Genomic DNA, 19,693 nt, shown 5'->3' on the forward strand with positions numbered 1-19,693 from the left:
TACTCTAGATCTCTACATGTTGTTCTTGTTCTTTATTACTTAATATTCTTGACTCTTGGAGATCACTCCATACCTGTATGCACAGTGCTCCTCATTTCTTTTTTACTGCACGGTATTTGGGGTTTTTTAGTTTTTAGAGACAGGGTCTCACTCTTCGCCCGTTCATAGTCCCACCGTGTTCCTCTGGCTGGTCTCGAAGAATTCCTGGGCTCAAGTAATCCTCCAGCCTCAGCCTCCCCAGGCACTGGGATTACAGGTGTGAGCCACGCACCTGGCCTCGCTGCACGGTATCTGATTGTGCAGCTATATTATAGATGATCCAAACAGTCCCTTGTTGACGAATACTTGGGTTACTCCCAGTGTCTTACGATCATAAATAATGCCACAGTGAAGAATTTTGTGCATGAGCCATTTTGTATTTATGCCTATCTGATACCACTGGGGATAGATTTCTAGAAGTGGGATTGCCAGGTTGAAGGGTGATGATAAAATATGACTGGACTATATGTTGCCAAATTCTCTGCCATGGAATTGTACCATTTGCCTTTGGGAAGCCTTTTGTTTTCCCTTTGCTCTTTTTCCATCTCCTTTCTTCCTGCCTTCCTGCCGGAAGTTGATGCTGGAAAGTACAGCAGCCATCTCACAACTATCAGGCTGCAAGCCACTCCCATGAATACCAGAGCTGGAAACCAGAAGAGCTCCCCAAGGCCTCGCCAGCCCACCGGCTCAGCCCTCCACTAACTGCCACTAAGCTTCTTGCCAGGGGAGGAATACAAACCCCTCACCCGTACAGCCCTGGTTATTCAGCTGCCTATTACATACAGCCAAAGGCAATATAATAATTTAAATATTGAGTAAGTTTAATTGAATTAAACTTTTTTTTTTTTTTTTGAGACAGAGTCTCGCTCTGTCGCCCAGGCTGGATGGAATGCAGTGGCGCGATCTCGGCTCACTGCAAGCTCTGCCTCCCGGGTTCACACCATTCTCCTGCCTTAGCCTCCCGAGTAGCTGGGACTACAGGCGCCTGCCACCACACCTGGCTAGTTTTTTGTATTTTTAGTAGAGACGGGGTTTCGCCGTGTTAACCAGAATGGTCTCGATCTCCTGACCTCGTGATCCGCCAGTCTCGGCCTCCCAAAGTGCTGGGATTACAGGTGTGAGCCACCGTGCCCAGCAAATTAAACTTGTTAAACAGTGCTAACAATGTTTAAATTAGAGAATATTAATTGGAAAGCCTGTAGCTCATTAGTGAGTTGGTACTTCCTACTGCAAGCTGAGCTGTCCAGTATGGTAGCCACTAGCCACGTGTGACCGTTTAAATTCAAGTTAAATAAAATTTAAAATCCAGTGCCTCAGTGGCACTAGCTACATTTCAAGAGTTCAGTGGGCGAGGATTCTTGTGGTTGCCATATTGGACAGTGCTTTATAGAACATCATCATGACGGCAGAAGGTTCTGCATTGCTGATATACAATTCAAGGTAGCACTAAGGGGTCACTCTAACTATTAATATTTAAGAGGCCAGGCACGGTGGCTCCTGCCTGTAATCCCAGAAATTTTGGGGGCTGAGGCGGGGGGATCACTTGAGTCCAGGAGGGAAAAAGAAAAGAAAAAAAAACATTAAAAAAATCTCCATCTTGCTGGGCGCGATGGCTCACACCTGTAATCCCAGCACTTTGGGAGGCCGAGGTGGGTGGATCACAAGGTCAGGAGATCAAGACCATCGTGGCTAACATGGTGAAACCCCATTTCTACTAAACATACAAAAAATTAGCCAGGCACAGTGGCGGGCACCTGTAGTCCCAGCTACTCAGGAAGCTGAGGCAGGAGATTGGCATGAGCCCGGGAGGCGGAGGTTGCAGTGAACCAAGATCATGCCACTGCACTCCAGCCTGGGTGACAGAGCAGGACTCTGTCTTTAAAAAAAAAAAAAAAAAATCTCCATCTTGATGACCTCCTGTGTCTTCTGAAGTAACTCTTTGTGATATTAGGCTTATCTATCAATTGGTAAATCCAAGATGTGATCCACCTCAGCTTCTTCCTTTTTTTTTTTTTTTTTTTTTTTTTTGAGATGGAGTTTCGCTCTTGTTGTCCAGGCTGGAGTACAATGGTGTGATTTCCGCTCACTGCAACCCTGCCTCCCAGGTTCAAGTGATTCTCCAGCCTCAGCCTCCCAAGTAGCTGGAATTACAGGTGCCCACCACCATGCCCAGCTAATTTTTGTATTTTTAGTAGAGACGGGGTTTCGCCATGTTGGCCAGGCTTGTCTCGAAGTCCTGACCTCAGGTGATCCACCCTCCTCGGCTTCCCAAAGTGCTGGAATTACAGGCATGAGCCACCGCGCCAGGCCAGCTTCTTCGATTATTAAAAAAAAAATAAATTCCCTGCAACTTGTTCCATCCTCATGAAGGGCATCTGTGCTGCAAAACCCAGCCCCACCAGCATTTCTCTCAAAGGTGTGGCTGTAACACAGTGCAAGTGCATCTTTCAGAAACAGAACTTATAGGCCAAGAATATACATATATGTGTAGACAAAACCAGGAAACACAATCCCCAGAAAGAATAAGCAGTATACTATAAAGAAGAGATGACTCCATCAATAAGGCAGAAAACAGCTTGGGACTATGAAAATCACCAGAGGACATTTCCGGGTGGAGAGCTCACAGCGGTTGAGAGAAGGCTTCCCATCTCCACTTCAGTTCTGCAGAGAAAGGCAAGAACTGAGATGCAGAAAGCAAGGAGGACGTTAGCAAGTTTCTGAAGCTTTGGGGGTTTTCACACAGTGAGGATGCCCATATTGTGTGATGAGATAAAGTGAAATCATCTGTCAGCCTGTCTGTTCGCATAGTTATGCTATTCATAGAAAATGTACCTCTTTCCCCATATAAAACACCATATGCCTCTTTTCTTACCTAATTAGGTGCAGACTGTGTGGGTATCCTAGGGACCCATAACGTTTTCCCAGGTCTACGGCATGTAGTAGGAGGAAGCCATGCCGGTGACTCAAGTGGCTGTTTTGGGTCCTTCTGTAGAACATTCTTCAGAGATGTCAGAGCAATTGGAAACCATATTAATGAATAAATAAAAAATGAGTTTTGACTCCTGCCATCTACAGCACCATGAGAAAGGAAAGGAATGAAGATATCAGCATTTTTTGGACTCCAAAGACACCATTGCACACCTCTTCCTGCCTCCACCTGCTTACAGAGCCCGAGTTCCATGATCCGCCCTTGTAATCACTACCTCACAACCACCCGTGACGCCCTTGCTGCCCCCTCCCTCGACAACCCTGTGTAACTCAGCCATCACCCACTCCGTGTCTGCACCTGAACACTGGTGGGAAAAACAACCTGTGGCTGCAAGGGGCTGCAGGAGGGAGAATTGATGCTATTGTCTAAGGAAGACAGAGTTTTGGTTTGGGAAGATGGACAAGTTCTGGAGCTGGATGGTGGTGATGGTGGCACAACAATGAGAATGTACTTGATGCCACTGAACTGTATGTTTGAAAATGGTTCAGGGCCGGTCACGGTGGCTCACACCTGTAATCCCAGCACTTTGGGAGGCCGAGGCAGGTGGATCACCTGAGGTCGGGAGTTCGAGACCAGCCTGGCCAACATAGTGAACCCTGTCTGTACAACAAAATTCAAAAATTAGCCGAGTGTGGTGGCACACCCCTGTTATCTCAGCTACTCAGGAGGCTGAGGCAGGTGAATCTCTTGAAACCAGGAGGCAGAGGTTGCAGTGAGCCAAGATCAAGCCACTGCCCTCCAACCTCTGGGTGACAGAGCGAGACTCCGTCTCAAGAAAAAAAAAACAAGGTAAATTTTATGTTATGTATATTTCGCCACAATTTGTAAACAGTTTTTAAAAAGACACTTGCTGGGCGCGGTGGCTCACGCCTGTAATCCCAGCACTTTGGGAGGCCAAGGCCGGCGGATCACGAAGTCAGGAGTTCGATACCAGCCTGGCCAACATGGTGAAACCCCATCTCTACTAAAGATACAAAAACTTAGCTGAACATGGTGGCGCACACCTATAATCCCAGCTACTTGGGAGGCTGGGGCAGGAGAATCGCTTGAACCCTGGAGGAGGAGGTTGAAGTGAGCTGAGATCATGCCATTGCACTCCAGCCTGGGCAACAGGGCAAGACTCTGTCTCAAAATAAACAAATAAAATAAAATAAAATAAAATAAAATAAAATAAAATAAAATAAAAAAATAAAAAGACACTCAACATTGTTGGCTGGTCTCATTTTAAATTCTGGTATATAAATAGGAAGTGGACCATTGACCCTGGCCATCAATACTAACATATTTCCTCAGTTTTTTCACTTTCCCACTCTCCAGATGACTATTTTACCCTTTCTCCTGTCTCCCTCCTACACCCTTATCTCTTTCTTCCCCCAACCCTTCAGTGAGAACATTGGAGCAATCCCACAGAAGCCCCCTCATCTTCCCATCCACAAAGCTACAAGCCCACCCTTACCTCCAGCCTTGGTCTATCCCTCCCTCTTGCTATTCGGGATGAAATGTCCTGCTCTTATTAAAAAAAAACCAGCCCGTTGAGGCCGGGCACAGTGGCTCACACCTATAATCCCAACACTGTGGGAGGCCAACGTGGAAGGATCACTTGAGCCTAGGAGTCTGAGCTATAGTGAGCTATGATTGTGCCACTGTGCTCCAGCTTGGGGAACAGAGCAAGACCCTGTCTCAAAAAAACAAAAAACAAAAAACCCCGGCCTTCAAGGTGGTGGGAGTAGGGGGTAGGGGGCAGCTGCTTACTGGTTACAGAGTATTTGGGTTTGGGGTGATGAAAAGATGTTGGAACTAGCACAATATGGTCATACTATATTGTGAATGTAATTAATGCCACTATTGTGTACACTTAAAAAGAGTCAAAATGCAAATTTCATGTTATATATATTTTACCACAAAAAAAAAAAAATCTTTAACCCTAGCCCCTTGACTTGGGCTCTGATCCCACCGTGCTCAAGGACTTGATTCCTACGTGGTTCTCTTTTGCTCCAGCACTGTCAACCTCTCCAGCTCTCTCTGCCTCCCCCTGCCCCTTGGAGGCCACTCGGACCAGGGCCAGCATACAAACACGCCCCACATCTCTTGCCTGTAAAAAACTCCTGCAATCTGCTTCCCCACAGTCTCCCACTTGGGCTCTGCCCCTTCCCAGCCCTCTGGGACAGTGTCCAGGTTTTACTGTCCCTGACTTCACCCACCCACCCAATCAGCCTTCCACCCTCACCTGTCCACAAACCATGCATAGCAGTGTCATTGGAAAACTCTGTGGCCCCCATCAAGGAAGCGCTCAGCCTTCCAGATACATTTTTTACTTCCATGACCTCATCCTTCCCTAGTTTATCTCCTGCCTCACAGACAGCTCCTCTGGATCTTTCTCTGGTCCTTCCACTTCCTGCTAAAATGCCTCCAGGACTCTCTGCTGGGCTTCTTCTCTTGTGGGCTCACAGAATATCCCTAGGTAATGTGAGTTTAAATACTCATGGTTTTAAATATCAATAAAAACCAATATGCCCTAAAGCTTCCAAACCTACACCTCCAGCCCTCACCTCTTCCTGGTCTCCAGAATTTTATATCCTCCCATCTAACTGGCACCTCCACATAAATAAATAACTTTCTGTCCCAAATTGGCTCCTGCCCCTACTCATGGCACGGCTCCTGCCACCAGGTGCTGGAGTCAGGTCAGGGTCCTTTCCTTCATCCTTCTCCACCGCACCTCTCCCTGTGTATTCAGCAAGCGCTGCCACCTGCTCATCTAAAACGTGGCCCAGACCTGTGCGCTGTTCTCCGTCCCCATTCCCCCATCATCTGGACCACTGCAATGGCTTGCTCCCAGGACATCCGGCCCCGAATCTCATCCCACACAACAGCCAGACCCCTCCTCCAAATATTAAATAACATTATTTCATGCCCCAGCTTAAACCCCTCCAGTGGCTTTCCCTGGCCCTAAAATAACATCTCAACTCACAATATGGTCACAGTCCAGCCTCCATCTCTCAGCCTCATCTTGAACCACACTCCTGTTCCCTGTGGTCTGGCCACATGGGCCATCCCTCTGGCCCCCTTACTCAGTGGTTTTCAATCAGAGGTGATTTTGCCTCACAGAGGGCATCTGGCAATGTCTGGAGAAATGTTTTCTCTTTTCTTTTCTTTTTTTTTTTTTTTTGAGACAGAATCTCATTCTGCCATCCAGGCTAGTGTGTAGTGGTGTGATCACAGCTCACTGCAGCCTCTACCTCCTGAGCTCAAGCCATCCTCCTGCCTCAGCCTCCCAAGGAGCTGAGACTATTTTTTTTGTAGAGATGGGGTCTTGCAATGTTGCCCAGGCTGGTCTCAAACTACCAGGCTGAAGCCATCCTCCCACCTCGGCTTCCCCAGGAATTACAGACATGAGCCACCATGCCCAGCCTGGAGACATTTTTGACTGTCACAGTTTGGAAGGGAGGAAGCTGTTGCTAGCATGTAGTCACTAGGGGCCAGGGATACTGCTAAACATCCTATAAGGCAGAGGAAAGCCCCCCCTTAAAGTGTTAGGTCGGTCTAACATCGATGTAACATATTATTATTATTACTATGATCATTTTTCTAAAAATCCCACCCAAGGCTTTACTCAGAGAAATATGATATGCCTTTTAATATAGATGAAAGGAATTAGAGAAGTTTGAAACTTATTTTTTACCTACACGTTTCAGAGAAGAGAAGGCAGGAGTGTGGCTGAGGGCTGGGACCTGGCCCTGGGCAGAGCCAGCCACACATCTGTTTCTGCAGCAGGTCAGGGAAGAACAGACCTTTGCCTAGGCAACATAGTGAGACATCGTCTTTACAAAAACAATTTAAAAAATTAGTCAGACACGGTGGTGTGCACCTGTGGTCCCAGCTACTTGGGAGGCTGAGGCAGGAGGACCGCTTGAGCCCGGGAGGTCAAGGCTACAGTGAGCCATGAGCACGCCACTGCACTTCAGCCTGGGCGACAGAGCAAGACTTTGGCTCAAAAACAAAAACAAAAAAAAAGTAAAAAAGGCAGAGCCAGAGGCAGGGTCCATCCCCAAAAGGAAATGCCAACAAAATAGCCTGTCCTCACTTATTGAATGGAAAAAATGATTTCCTTTCACTGTTTAGTCTAATAAGCAGGAATCTGGAAACCCTGGCTCCATCCTCTGCATTGTGATGTTGGGAAAAATTCTGCAGGACTTTCAAGCCATCAAAAGCCAAGAAAAAAAAATCCCAGAGAGGCAAAATTGGGGTGAGCTGTCACTAAGAATTTATTTAATTTGTGGCTATTTCAAGGTATGACATTCCATATTTTCTTAGCCTCATCCCAGCTTTCCTTTCTTTCCTCCCAATTATAAAACTAAGCAGAAGAGTGATACTCTCCTAGAAACAACAATTAAAGGGATTCTGAATGAACCGAGCAACTTTCACAGAAAAAGCACTGTCCTAACTATTGTGTGGTCCCCGAAGAAATGAGGTAGGAGGCCCATATCTTGCCTGAGAAGTCAGCACCTCTCACCTCCATGGGCTTTCACGCCCCTTACATGTATTGATTCATTATTCACACAGTGGAATATTACTCAGCCATAACAAGGAATGAAGTTCTGATGCATACGACAGCATGGATGAACCTTGAGGACATTATGCTGAGTGAAATAAGCCAGACACAAAGGAACAAATACTATATAATCCCACTTAGATGAGATCCCTAGAGTAGTCACATTCAGAGAGACAGAAAGTTGAATGGAGATTGCCAGGGGCTAGGGGAGAAGAAATGAGGAACTATCGTTTCATGGGTACAAAGATTCTGTTTGGGAAGAAGAAAACGTTGTGGAGACGGATGATGTGATGACTGCACAGGAATGTGAATGTACTCGACACCAGTGAATTGTACACTTAAAAGTTTTACTCCTTGCAGGTGCCCCAGGAGAGCGTTCCTGTATAAAGGTCAAGGTCAACAATGGCTGAGTGCCAACACTCAAAGCAGCCTTTGGTGTATAAGGAGACCACACCCAGGGGAGGAAGGGCAGAGCTAGGGCTGGGAAGGACTGAATTTGGAACCCAGGGTGGAATCAAGCTGAAGAAGGCCAAAGCTTCTGCTATCTTCTGGTCAAGAACACGATTAAGAGCCCAGGAGAAAAAGAAAGAAGGCCCCAGTGTCTCAGCTCTGTGGGGTGAAGAAAGTGGAAGACAGAGTGGGTGAGAACTAGCCTGAGCTAGGGAAAGTGTTAGGAAAAAAGTAGAGTCCAGAGAGGACAAAAGAAAGAAACTGTGGTGCAGTGGTGAGTGGGGGCTGAAAAGCTCCTGCTGGGGAGGGGAGGAGGCTGGGAGAGAAGAAAACAAGGCTGTGGGCTGTAGCAAGCACTGCTGGTGGCAGGAGGGGAGGAGGCTGGCTGTATGCTTGGCTGGCTACAGCCCAGATAACTTGAACTCAAAGGAGTCGTTTGAGTTTAATACTCCCCCAGGACTGTAGAAGAGGAAAAAAGGAAGGGAAAAAAAAGTCAAAAGTCTCCAGAGGCAGGAGCATTTTGTTTTAAAGGACTACCTCTTGGGCCTGTCCCTAATTTTCTGGGGTTTGTTCCTGGTTTAAAAGGAGAAGTTTTATGTCACCCGTGAGAGTCTGCATTTTTGTGGGATTCAAATATTTCTTAATTAGGTGTTGTCTCTTTACAGAAAGAAAAGACGCCTTTTATTTCCTTTTACTTTGCTATTTTAATTTACTCCCTTTCGTGTCTAATAACTAGGTAGGGGAATGTGAAACAGCTGCTGTAAAATATGACAAACCCTGCTCCCTGGGAACACTGAGAAGGAACTATCTCCCATCCCAGGGAAGAGCGCCTGCCTCCCCGCCCAATCCCGGACCCGACAAACCCTGTACAGCACTGTGGTCCCTCTCCCTGCTCTTATGGTTGGGGGGTGGGGGGATGTTTGAATGAGAAGGACAGTCACTGGGTTGCTGGGAATCATACATCCACCTTCCCCAAGTGGCCTGTCTGTCCCTTTGCTTAGGCGCCACCGTTCCCAGGAGGGTTGAGACTACTTTATCCAAAACTCGGGAATTTGCCCCCATGAAACTCCAGAAAATCAGGGAAAAAGAAAAAAAATCAGAACAAAAAAAGCAGCAGAAGTGGCCAGGAAATGTTTGACCTTGGTCTGCTGGGTACTGACTGGTGTTCTTACTGTGTTCTCGGTTTGAGAAAAATGACAGAAAAGGGAAAGGGGGTGGATGTCGCTTTTCTACTGCCACAAATGTAAGGGTGGGCATACACCCTATCTAGTTCGGGGTCAACCCTTCAGCAAAGGGTCAGTAGTTGTCCGTGAATTGCAGAAGCTTCCCAAGGGATCCGGAGCACAGATTTGCAGGGCAGCCCAGGGCACCGGTTTCCGTCTCCTGAGCTGTGTATGATGCTTATGCGCTCATTTTGCTGGCAAAAGAGCCTGTCATAAAATGTAATACTGACTATAAAACAAATCAGTGCTTTGAAACGACTTGTTTCAGATGTTTTCATAAATCCCTAATGGCTCAGGCACGGCCTGCTATTGATAATATCAATGTGTTAATAGTTCCTCTGAAGCAGGAGCACTGGGTAGGTCTGAACACACACACACACACACACACACACACACACACACACACACACACAAAGATGGGACGGCCATGAAACTGGAAGACAATGGTTTGGCTCTCCCTTGAATTCTAGCTGCACTTTGCTGACCTCGGAAAGCCACAGCCAAGTGAGAAAGCTGATAGTCTAAATCCATGGCTGGAGCTCCCCTTTAAAGTGTTTTAAATTGGTTCATAAAAAGTATATTATATAGGTACACATGTACATATAAAAGCATGTAAGCACACCAGTGTTCACAGCACCACTACTCACAGTAGCCAAAAGGTGGAAACAACCTGTGTCCATCAACAACAGGAGGAATCTACAAAATGTGGTCTATCCACACAGTGGACTACTACTCAGCCATAACGAAGAATGAAGTTCTAATGCATGCTACAGCAGGGATGAACCTTGAGGACATTACGCTGAGTGAAATAAGCCAGGCACAGAAGGACAAGTACTGAATGATCCCACTTAGATGAGATCCCTAGAGTCGTCACACTCAGAGACACAAAAAGTTGAATGCAGATTGCCAGAAGCTAGGGGAGAAGAAATGAGGAACTATTGTTTCATATACAAAGATTCAGTTTGGGAAGACTGAAACATTCTAGAGATGAATGGTGTGATGACTGCATGGGAATGGGAATGTACTCGATACCACTGAATTGTATGCTTAAAAATAGTTGAAGCCAGGTGTGGTGGCTCACACCTGCAGTCCCAGCTACTCAGGAGGCTGAGGCAGGAGGATCACTTGAGCCCAGGAGTTGGAGGCCAGCCTGGGCAACACAGTGAGACCCCATCTCTTAAAAATGATTGAAATGGTAAATTTTATGTTACATACATTTTACCACATTTTTTTTCTTTTTTGAGACAGAGTCTCACTCTGTTGTCCAGGCTGGAATGCAGTGGCACAATCTCAGCTCACTGCAACCTGCACCTCCTGGGTTCAAGCGATTCTTGTGCCTCAGCCTCCCGAGTAGCTGGGACTACAGGCGCAGACCACCACACCCAGCTAATTTTTTGTATTTTTAGTAGAGACTGGTTTTCACCGTGTTGGCCAAGCTGGTCTCAAACTCCTGGCTTCAAGTGATCTGATCTGCCTGCCTCGGCCTCCGAATGTGCTGGGATTACAGGTGTAAGCCACCATGCCTGGCCTTACCACAGTTTTTTTTTAAATGATGGGGAAAACATGCGAGCAATGGATATTAGGCTTCTCTACAACTTCCTGTGTCCTCTTCTACTGTGCCCCAAAATAGGGCCCACAGCTCTGTTTCTAGGGCCTCAGAGCACCCAGCTCCCAGGGAGGCTGTTACTCAGCTGAGCCTAAGAGGTTTTGTGTCTGCCGTTCCACAGACAGTCATGGGGCCAAGGAAACCTTCCTATTAAAAACTTCATTCCAATCTCAAAAGAAACTTAAGGGCCAAGCAGGATATTATACTTTTCATTATGCAATTTCTCTGCTTCTTTTTTTTTTGAAATCAAATCTAGTTCTGTCACCCAGGCTGGAGGGCAGTGGCACAATCTTGGCTCACGGCAGTCTCTGCTTCTTGAGTTCAAATGATTCTCGTGCCTCAGCCTCCCAAGTAGCTGGGACTACAGGCTTGCACCACCACACCCAGCTAATTTTTGTATTTTTAGCAGAGAGGCAGTTTCGCCATGTTGCCCAGGCTGGTCTTGAAATCCTGACAAAAAGCGATCTGCTGGCCTTGGCCTCCCAAAGTGCTGGGATTACAGGCATGAGCCACCACACCCAGCTTCTGCTTCCTTCTTAACTGGCATCACTCCAATTGGAGGAGTCGGAGAAAAATAAATACTCCAATCTTGCCAGGGGCCAAAGACACTAATGTTATTGGAAGACACATTCCTGTCTCTGGACCACTCCAGCCCTCTGCTTTACAGAGTGGATATAAAGGATCTGGGCGTTGAAGGCTGGAAATAGCAGGAGGAGTGGCCAAGGAGGGGTGGCACTGGCTAACGGGCAGTGGTTCTCCTGGACTTGCCTCTGTGTCTCTAGGTGTTCTTTCTCCCTGAGAAGAGACTCCTGGAATCACCTCATGATTCTGTCCCTCACGGGTATGAACAGGGAACCAGCTGTGCTGCCGGTTGTGAGAACACAGAGCGGTGGCCCAGCAGCGGCCAGGACTCACCCAGAAGTTTCTGTCAGGAACACAACAGACTCTTGCCCTAGGCCACAGTTTGTTCTAATGCGTGCTCTTTCGGGTCAGTTTACTTAAGAAACGACCAGAGCAGTCAAACCTTTGCCCTCGCCCCTTAAAGGGGACAAACATTGGCATAGTTCCTCCCATTCCAAGGCTCCCCTGGGCCCTCCCTGAAATGTCCCATACATGTCATTATCCGAAATCAGCCTGCTACAAACTCCAGGCTCCCGCTGCATGGGTTTTTATGTCAGTGCCAAACGTTCTTCTTTGCGCCAGGTCAGGAGGATGAAACTCATGACTGGTGACAAGACAAGCCCTCCCAGAGAGAGGAGGACAGTCTGTGGGCATGATCCTGTTAGTTTTCAGACTGATGAGTCCAGTGGCAAGGACCCTGGAAGGGTCCCATACGCCCTGCATGGGGAGTTCTCCTGAAAGGGCACAAGGAACACAGCACGGGGCTCCCACTGATCCAAGGAGGACCTCAGGTGGGACTGCCAAGGAGCCTGCACCCCAATAAAGGCAGAATCAGAACAGAGCCTGATTAATAAACAGAACCTAGTCAGATATGACTTAAAAGCTATTAGGACTTGGATTGGGAAGAAAGAGGCATAATATGAATATCACTAAGAAAACTTCGCAGTCAGTATCCAGATTTTCTAAATCAACCACTTCAACAAATTCTCTGCCAGCTCATAAAATGTCTCCTGACGTGCCTTCCTTTCTCTAAACGATGCTATTTTATTAAATGGTGTAGGAGCTGGGAGAGAGGGGAGGAGTAGAGAGACAAGTCATGGGTGAATATTTCAATTTTATTTTCATTGTAGCTTTTCTCAGTCTTGCTTCCTTCAACACTGTCCTAAATTTGGCTAGGTCTGATAATTTCCAAGGTGGGATTTAGACATGCTATAATTGTGTGTGTGTGTGTGTGTGTGTGTGTGTGTGTGTGCACCTGTCTGATCAATATATATTTAACATGCACAAGTATTCTGTACACTGGAGCAGAAATGTGCACAACAGACTCAAAGGAGTATTTGTGTTTATCATGTTAGGCTCCCAGGTATTTTTAAGAAAATCATACTTGGCTTTATGCTTTAAGATTTCCTTTTCCTGGTAATTCTTCCTGAAGCCTGACCATTGTAACTTCTTCAGCACAGACTCACTGGGGATGGGGGAACAGGAGTATGCAAAGTTACAAACCACTTTTTATATTTTAAAAGGTGCTTCTCCCAGATTGTTGACCGGCTGGTTGATGGTCCTTATCCGGATCAATTTCCTGTTTTTCAGGCTGACCCAGACTCTCAGACCATGGCGGGGTGAGCAGCAGCTGGGCAGCTCAGGGAGCTCTGTCATGCTGGGGACGGGGGCTGAAGGGAAACCTTTTTTTTTTTTAGGCTGAGTCTTGCCCTATCGCCCAGGCTGGAGTGCAGTGGCACCATCTCCGCTCACTGCAACCTCCGCCTCCCTAGCTCAAACGATTCTTCTGCCTCAGCCTCCCAAGTAGCTGGAATGACAGGCGCACACCACCAGGCCCAGCTAATTTTTGTATAGTTTGTACAGATGGGGTTTCACCATGTTGCCCAAGCTGGTGCTGACCTCAAGCGATCCTCCCGCCTCAGCTTCCCAAAGGGCTGGGATTACAGGCGTGAGCCACCGCGCGAGGCCAAGAAAGCCTATTTTCAAACAGGATCCTAGCTGCTCCTGCCTCTCTCATCCTTGTGTCCTGCAAGCAAAGGATACCTAGGACCCTGGGGTAGAGGCCAAATGACCCGGGAGTCAACTTTGAGAAAAGGAGGCTAGGGAGAGGAACAGAATGGGTGTCTGATGGTGAGACCTGAGGAAAGGTGGAAGCAAGAAGACTGGGGGAGTGAGACAGCTGCAGGCTTAGGACACCCTCCTGAGAGCCCAGAGCACTGTGGCGGCGTTGGCTCCCCAGACTGGGGGCCTCAGGAGAGCTCGCGACAGGCTCCCCAGCAAGCTAAGCTCCCACTCCCGGGAGTACAACCGCCCTCGCGCAGGTGTACGCCCAGACACAGCCATAGCCAGCGGCCTCCAGGTCTGGGGCTGTCCAGAGAGGCCTGGGGGCCACACCCCAGCCCTCTGCCTCCCCACCCCCGCTCCAGGACGGACCCTGTCTCACCACAGGGCCACAGAACCCTCTTCAGTCCCACCAGAGAACAAACACTCCAGACACTGATTCGATCTGTACTGAAACCACTGGTTAGAAAATCCACAAGGCAACCACCGCCTTCGCACATTCCCTACCTGCAAGTATTGACCCCGATCAGCCAGGCCTGGCCGCCAGAACCAAGGTAGAAACTCAGGACCCGGTCCTCAGAAGCTCACAGCCCCAGGGAGTCTAAGAGACTGACCTCAAGGATCCCCAGGAGCCACTGTTTCTTCTGGAAGCCCTCTGGAGGAGCGTTTTTCCCCACGGCCTTTCCTCGCCTCACAGTTGTTCACACTCTCCTGCTCCTGGGGGAACCCAGGCCGGCTCATCAATGACCCCTCGCCTCCCCGCCCTCCTCCATTTCCTGAGCTGGGATAGCCCCAGAAGTTGAGCGTTTCCTATGCTGGAAGGACTTCCAGCTTGGAGCGGAAATCGGGGCCGGGGCAAGGACGCAGGGGCGTGTCGCCCACGTTTCTGGCCCGGCTAGCCGCAACTCCTTGGATGTAAACGAGATTTGGCCGGCGCTGCGGCGTGTGGGGAAAGATGATTACACTCGAAAGGAATCACGACTCCTTGCGGAGCCATTACTCGTGCCGCTCCGCACGCGCAGGTTCTGGCCCGGCTTTCAGCAACTCCCCGCTCCTCGCTAACCACTCGCTCGTAATTTGTGGGCCGCAGTGGAGCTGCGCCCGGGGCTGCAGCCCCCCAATTAAAGCACTTTTGCAGCTCGGACACCCAGAGAGCTGCCTCCGCGCACGCCAGGCCGGCACCTCCTGCTCCCACTCCCCTCTCCGCCCAGCCGTGGGCAGCTGAAATGGATGTGATTTCACGCACTTCCTGCGCGCGCACACACACATGCACACATGGACATACACTTGCACACACGCACAACGCGCATTCCCCCTCCAATGCCGCCCGCACACGTGCGCGAGCCTGGACGTTCCCCTTTTGTGCTCGTTTTGCAGGCCCAGAGCTCCTGCTGCTGGTTTTCTCCTTTCTCTCCTTCATCGCCTCTTCCTTCGCCACTTTCCTTCTGGACCCTCCGGGCTGGCTCCTGCCCCTCTGCCCCGGTGGCGCTCTCGCCTATTCCTCCCGGGAGGAGCCGGGGCCGCAGAGGTGCGCCCTGCACGCCCAGCGAGGGCCGAGTTCTGGGACGGCTGGGACCAAAGGGCTGGCCTCCGGCCTGCGCCCTGTTTGTTTTCCTTTCGCCCCCTGAATACTAGATTGAGACGTAAAGATTACCCGGGCCGAATAATGCCGGGAGTCAACACTCGAGCAAACAAAAGTGCTTGCACAACTAGTCAACCCCGCTGGGACCCGGGCCGCGGGCTGGGGGAGAGAACGCGCTCCTCGCTGCTAATTACAAATAAATGATGATGTGCTCACTAAGTAATTGATTTAATGAAGTTCCTATGAAACTATTAAACCCGGGTGGAGGTCAGGCTGGAGGCGCCCCAGAGCGCCCATTGTGGGCTGTTTAACTCCACCAGGCTCCTCGGAAAGACATCGGGGCTAATAGGTGAAGTCACAGCTGCTCGCGCTGACTTCTCGGAGCGCCCGGCTGGCCGCGGGCACCCTCGCGCCCTCTTCTTGTAGCGCCCTTGTGCCCCGCCGCCCGCGCCCCGCGCCGGCCAGCTTACCCACGCCACTCCCAGCCCTGTCGCCAGCTCCCGAGGGCCTCTCCAAAGGGATCCCGGGTCTCGTTAAGAGCGGGAAGTTGAGCACTGAACTTGTGCTCACCGCCAGCAGTCGGCGGCGTGCACCGCCGCCCACCCCTCCCTCCTCACTCCACCCCCGCCACTTCGTGCAGGAACTCCAACCAGTGTGCCACGCAGGGTGCTCGCGAGCTCTTGGCAAGGTGCCTGGATCCCGAGCGTGTGCCCAGTGCACTGGCTGGGGCTGGGCTGGGGGGGTTGAATTGCGCGTGAGCGTGTGTGTGGGGGGGGTGGTAGGGAGGTGGGTGTATGCGTACGAGAGAGAGTGCGTTCCGGGCCAAAAGGCCATCTTTCTGCATCCGTTATCCTGGCCTGGGCCCTGTTCATGCAAAAAAGTAGAGGAGGTAGGGACAGCAGAGAAGAGGAATGAGGAAAGATGTGCAAAACAGATCACTCAGGTAGGCGGTTGGGCCTGGGAACTCCAGTCCTAGGCTGTGCGGGAGTGGGCTGCTCTGGCGCGGCCCTCTCTCGCTGCCCCACCGCCCACCTCTGCCCGCGTCCTGACCCGGCCAGGCGTTCCTTGGCCCCAGAGCGACGCCTCCAGCTGCCAATGGGGCGTAGGGCCCCAGGCCCGCATCTCAGGGCTGTCTGAATGCGAGCTCTCCGGCCACCCATTGCGCTCAGATTCCAGTCTCTGCAGGAAGGGTAGGGACTAGTTCTCCTGCAACATGGCTCTTGGTGGAAACATGACCCGCCCCTTATCCAAAAGGCCAGAGGGAGCCCTGAATGGACACATTTTAAGATGGAGAATCAGACATTGCAAATGGATCAAAAGCTAAGGGTGCTAACCACACACACACACACACACACACACACACACACACACACACACACGGGGGTGGGGGTGGGGAGGGCATTTTACTGCATCTCCCCCCACCTACAAGGGGTCGTGTGGTAAAAGAGAAGGCCCACATCCAGGTGAAACGCCACATAGGGAGACGGGGGCGCCTGTTGGGCTTCTGGCTGCAGAAATCAATCTGCCGGGATGCCCTGCCCCCTCTGCCCAGCCAAATCTTGTCTCTCTTCATCAAGAACTGATAGTTAACAGAGTTTCTCAGAGCATGCATTTCATTTATGCCACAGTCAGTTGGCAGTAAGCTTCATTCCTTTTTTTATGTTAGGAATTTTCAACTGCTGAAACCAATTTCCATTTGACTTTGAATCAAACACTTGCAATGGGGGGCAGGGGAAAGGGACATTTTGGCGTGGTTGTTGGCGACTTTAAAGAGAACTCCACTCCCGCCTGGATCTTTGGTCTCAAAGAGGGTCTCAACCTCTGACTTCGGGGAATATTGACAAAAATCAATTTGAGTCTTGCTTGAGGTCTCAGTTTCGCCATCTGTAAAATTGGATCTGGAGATCCTTGGCTGAGGTCCTTTGGGCTTTATTTGTTTGTGATCTGTGAAGGGGACCGTAGGGAGAGGTGGAAGTCAGTCAAGACGCCTGTTTGCACCAAGCTTTTGTCTTTCTTTGTAGAAGCGAGTCCCTTTGTAAAATAACGCCCCGCCAGCCTGCCTAATGGATTTGTGCAGAGCTAGAGTTTTCATTTTCCCCACGCAGGAACGACGAAAGAGAGGGGGTCTTCCAACCCAGCGAGTCCCGCTTGGCCCCGGTTTGCCAGCGGCGCTCTCCAAAATGTGCCAAAAGCTGTGCTTGGGGCACTCTCTCGACCCCGCCCCGGGCAGCTGTTCCCATTTTGTTCCCGCCTTCCCTCCCCTCACCGCAGTCCCTCGTATTCCTTTAACGCCTGCTGCTGACTGCATCCCTGCTGCCCTTAATGTAGGATGGGCACTTCTCTTCAGCCTCCAAATGAGAAGTGACATTTGCACTCGGCTCAGCCAACGCGTGAGCAGAGCGCGGGGGCACAGGCCCATTGACCGAGCGCGGCCGAGGGGCCGGCCGGCTGGGCAGCATCCGAAGCTGCCTTAATTAATACCATCTTAAATAGTCCAGCAGCCACCGAAGACAAAGTTGAAGAAAGACTTTAAGGCTGAGTGCCCCTCGACAAGCTCTTTTTCCCGTGTCATTCAATATTTAATGCGCCCGCTTGTAATGCTACTACTGGTGTTCCTTTCTCAGCAAGGACATTATTTTTTCACGGTGCCCATAGCCAGGGAAAGCCCTTTAGGCAAAGAAAATCAAAATGTTTGTTGTTTTGGATGACTTATAACTCTTGTTTAACACAAGCACTTTCAGGAAAGTATAACAGGCGCAGCCTCCAAAGCAAACAACACAATCCTTGTGACAGAGTCGGACACAAAAAGCACATTGTCTTGCGGACTACCCCTTTTCTCTGGTGCTAGATGGGGGCCTGTCTCCGAATGAACACCACGATGCCATTTCACTTTTGAACTATTGTTTTTGAGTTATGCCATGTGGTCAAAAGGAGCGAGAAGGGGGTTGTTTCCAGGCTCATAAGACAAACGAGTTGCCTTTTCAATGAAATCCCCCCGCGATCCTTGAAAACGGAGTTTAAATGTCACCTCCGCCTTTCTAATGGGCACAGGGCTGGAGGCGACCCTTCAAAGCGCCTCGGTGATGAACGACCCTTATTAAATATGGCCCGAGCTGCTGGGAAAGTCCCGCGCCCGGCCGCGCGCCCTAGAGCGCCCCTCGCCGGTGGGCCCTGGAGGAGCCGGGCCTCCGCTGCCACCGAGCGGAGTCCGGGCCCGCAGAGCCCCAGCCCGGACTGGCGAGGGGGTGCAGAGGGAAGAAGAGGGAAGCCTGGACGAGGGGGGGCGTTGTAATACAACTTCTTATCTGCCGACCCCAACACGCCCGTGCGCCCCCAGCCCCAGAGCCTCGGCGTGAAAGGTTGGTGCGTTTCCCCCCTGACTCTTTTTGTCCGCAGCCGAGTGGCGTCTGCGAGTCTGAGCTGCAAAGTTACTGATTTGCAGGCTGCATGTTAAGGCAGCCCATGTAAGTAATTTCTCTGGGCACCCCAGCAAAGGAGAACAAATCGCTGACAAAGGCGAGCGCTTTCGATTCAGCGGCGTCGTTAAGGCAACCCCAAAGTATTCCTCCTATAATAAGTTCCACTTCAAAGGGTTTCTCATTCAGCGGTGACTGCTTCGCACTTTTATTAAGTCCGGGCTTTTTCACTCGGAGGAATCATCTGTTTGGTTATTTTTCATCGTGTTTATTTTTCACCATTCACACAGTACTTGTATTAAATAAACAAAGAACAATCGCTCTGCAAATAAAAGTACTTAGGTGGGGAGGGAAGGAAGAGGAGCTGGGGCTCTGGCGCCCCTGCCCCTCTCCCCCACCCTTCGAACATCACCCACTCCCCACCCCGACTCTCCTCCGCTCCTATCCTCCTTTCTTCATTCTTTCTCTCCCCTTTCTCTCAAGCTAGGAGGTTCTATGGAAGAATCTTAAACGCTGAATATATATATATATGTATATATGTGTATATATATATGTATATATGTGTGTATATATGTATATATATGTATATATGTGTATATATGTATATATATGTATATATGTGTATATATATGTATATGTGTATATATGTATATATATGTGTATATATATGTGTATATATGTGTATATATATATAAAATTTCTGATGAGGTGCAAGTGGACTGAAGTAACTTGGCATGAAAGTAAAAAGGTCACTGCAGCTGTGTCTCATCGACTGTCTCGAATCACAGTGGCCCCTCTGCCGGCGACTCCCCTGGCCCTGCCCACTGCCACAGCGATCCTGACGCTCCGCGTGGATGGACCATAGAAGCAGTAGTTTGAATTTCCAAAAGAAAAAAAACATGGCTTTGAACTTCTCCCTGCCTGATTAGGCACTTGCAGTGTATGTTAATGTGTGCTCGGGGAGTGCGTGGGTGTAGGGCTGAGTTTTTGTCTACAGAGGGGAAGTGTACTGGGGTCCCCAGGGCAGTTTCACCTAGGGTCCCCTGCCGGCCTGCCTGTGCCTCCAGACCTGGAAGGCTTCCGTGGCTGGGCATCCTGTTTTGCTACACTGTGGGTGGACTGGCAGGCCAGGAGTGATGTGAGGGGATGAAAGTGCC

At 49.8% G+C, this 19,693-nt stretch overlaps 1 long non-coding RNA gene across 1 annotated transcript in view, besides 2 other annotated features; it reads right to left on the minus strand.

Moving 5' to 3' along the window:
- Positions 1-15,673, minus strand: part of CLYBL-AS3 (CLYBL antisense RNA 3) — a 216,296-nt gene extending 200,623 nt beyond the window's left edge. The window contains exon 1 of the long non-coding RNA NR_120421.1: positions 15,591-15,673. This is a non-coding gene — a long non-coding RNA (CLYBL antisense RNA 3). The remainder of the gene's footprint in view (positions 1-15,590) is intronic.
- Positions 14,753-15,728: an enhancer, noted in NCBI's record as "H3K4me1 hESC enhancer chr13:100608499-100609474 (GRCh37/hg19 assembly coordinates)". NCBI's record gives its function as "activates a minimal SCP1, AML or CMV promoter by ChIP-STARR-seq in naive H9 embryonic stem cells {active_cell/tissue: H9 hESC(naive)}" and the evidence as "EXISTENCE:reporter gene assay evidence [ECO:0000049][PMID:30033119]".
- Positions 15,729-16,703: an enhancer, noted in NCBI's record as "OCT4-NANOG-H3K4me1 hESC enhancer chr13:100609475-100610449 (GRCh37/hg19 assembly coordinates)". NCBI's record gives its function as "activates a minimal SCP1, AML or CMV promoter by ChIP-STARR-seq in naive H9 embryonic stem cells {active_cell/tissue: H9 hESC(naive)}" and the evidence as "EXISTENCE:reporter gene assay evidence [ECO:0000049][PMID:30033119]".

The sequence above is a fragment of the Homo sapiens genome, chromosome 13 (genome assembly GCF_000001405.40).
Source record: "Homo sapiens chromosome 13, GRCh38.p14 Primary Assembly".
Taxonomy (NCBI): Eukaryota; Metazoa; Chordata; class Mammalia; order Primates; family Hominidae; genus Homo; species Homo sapiens.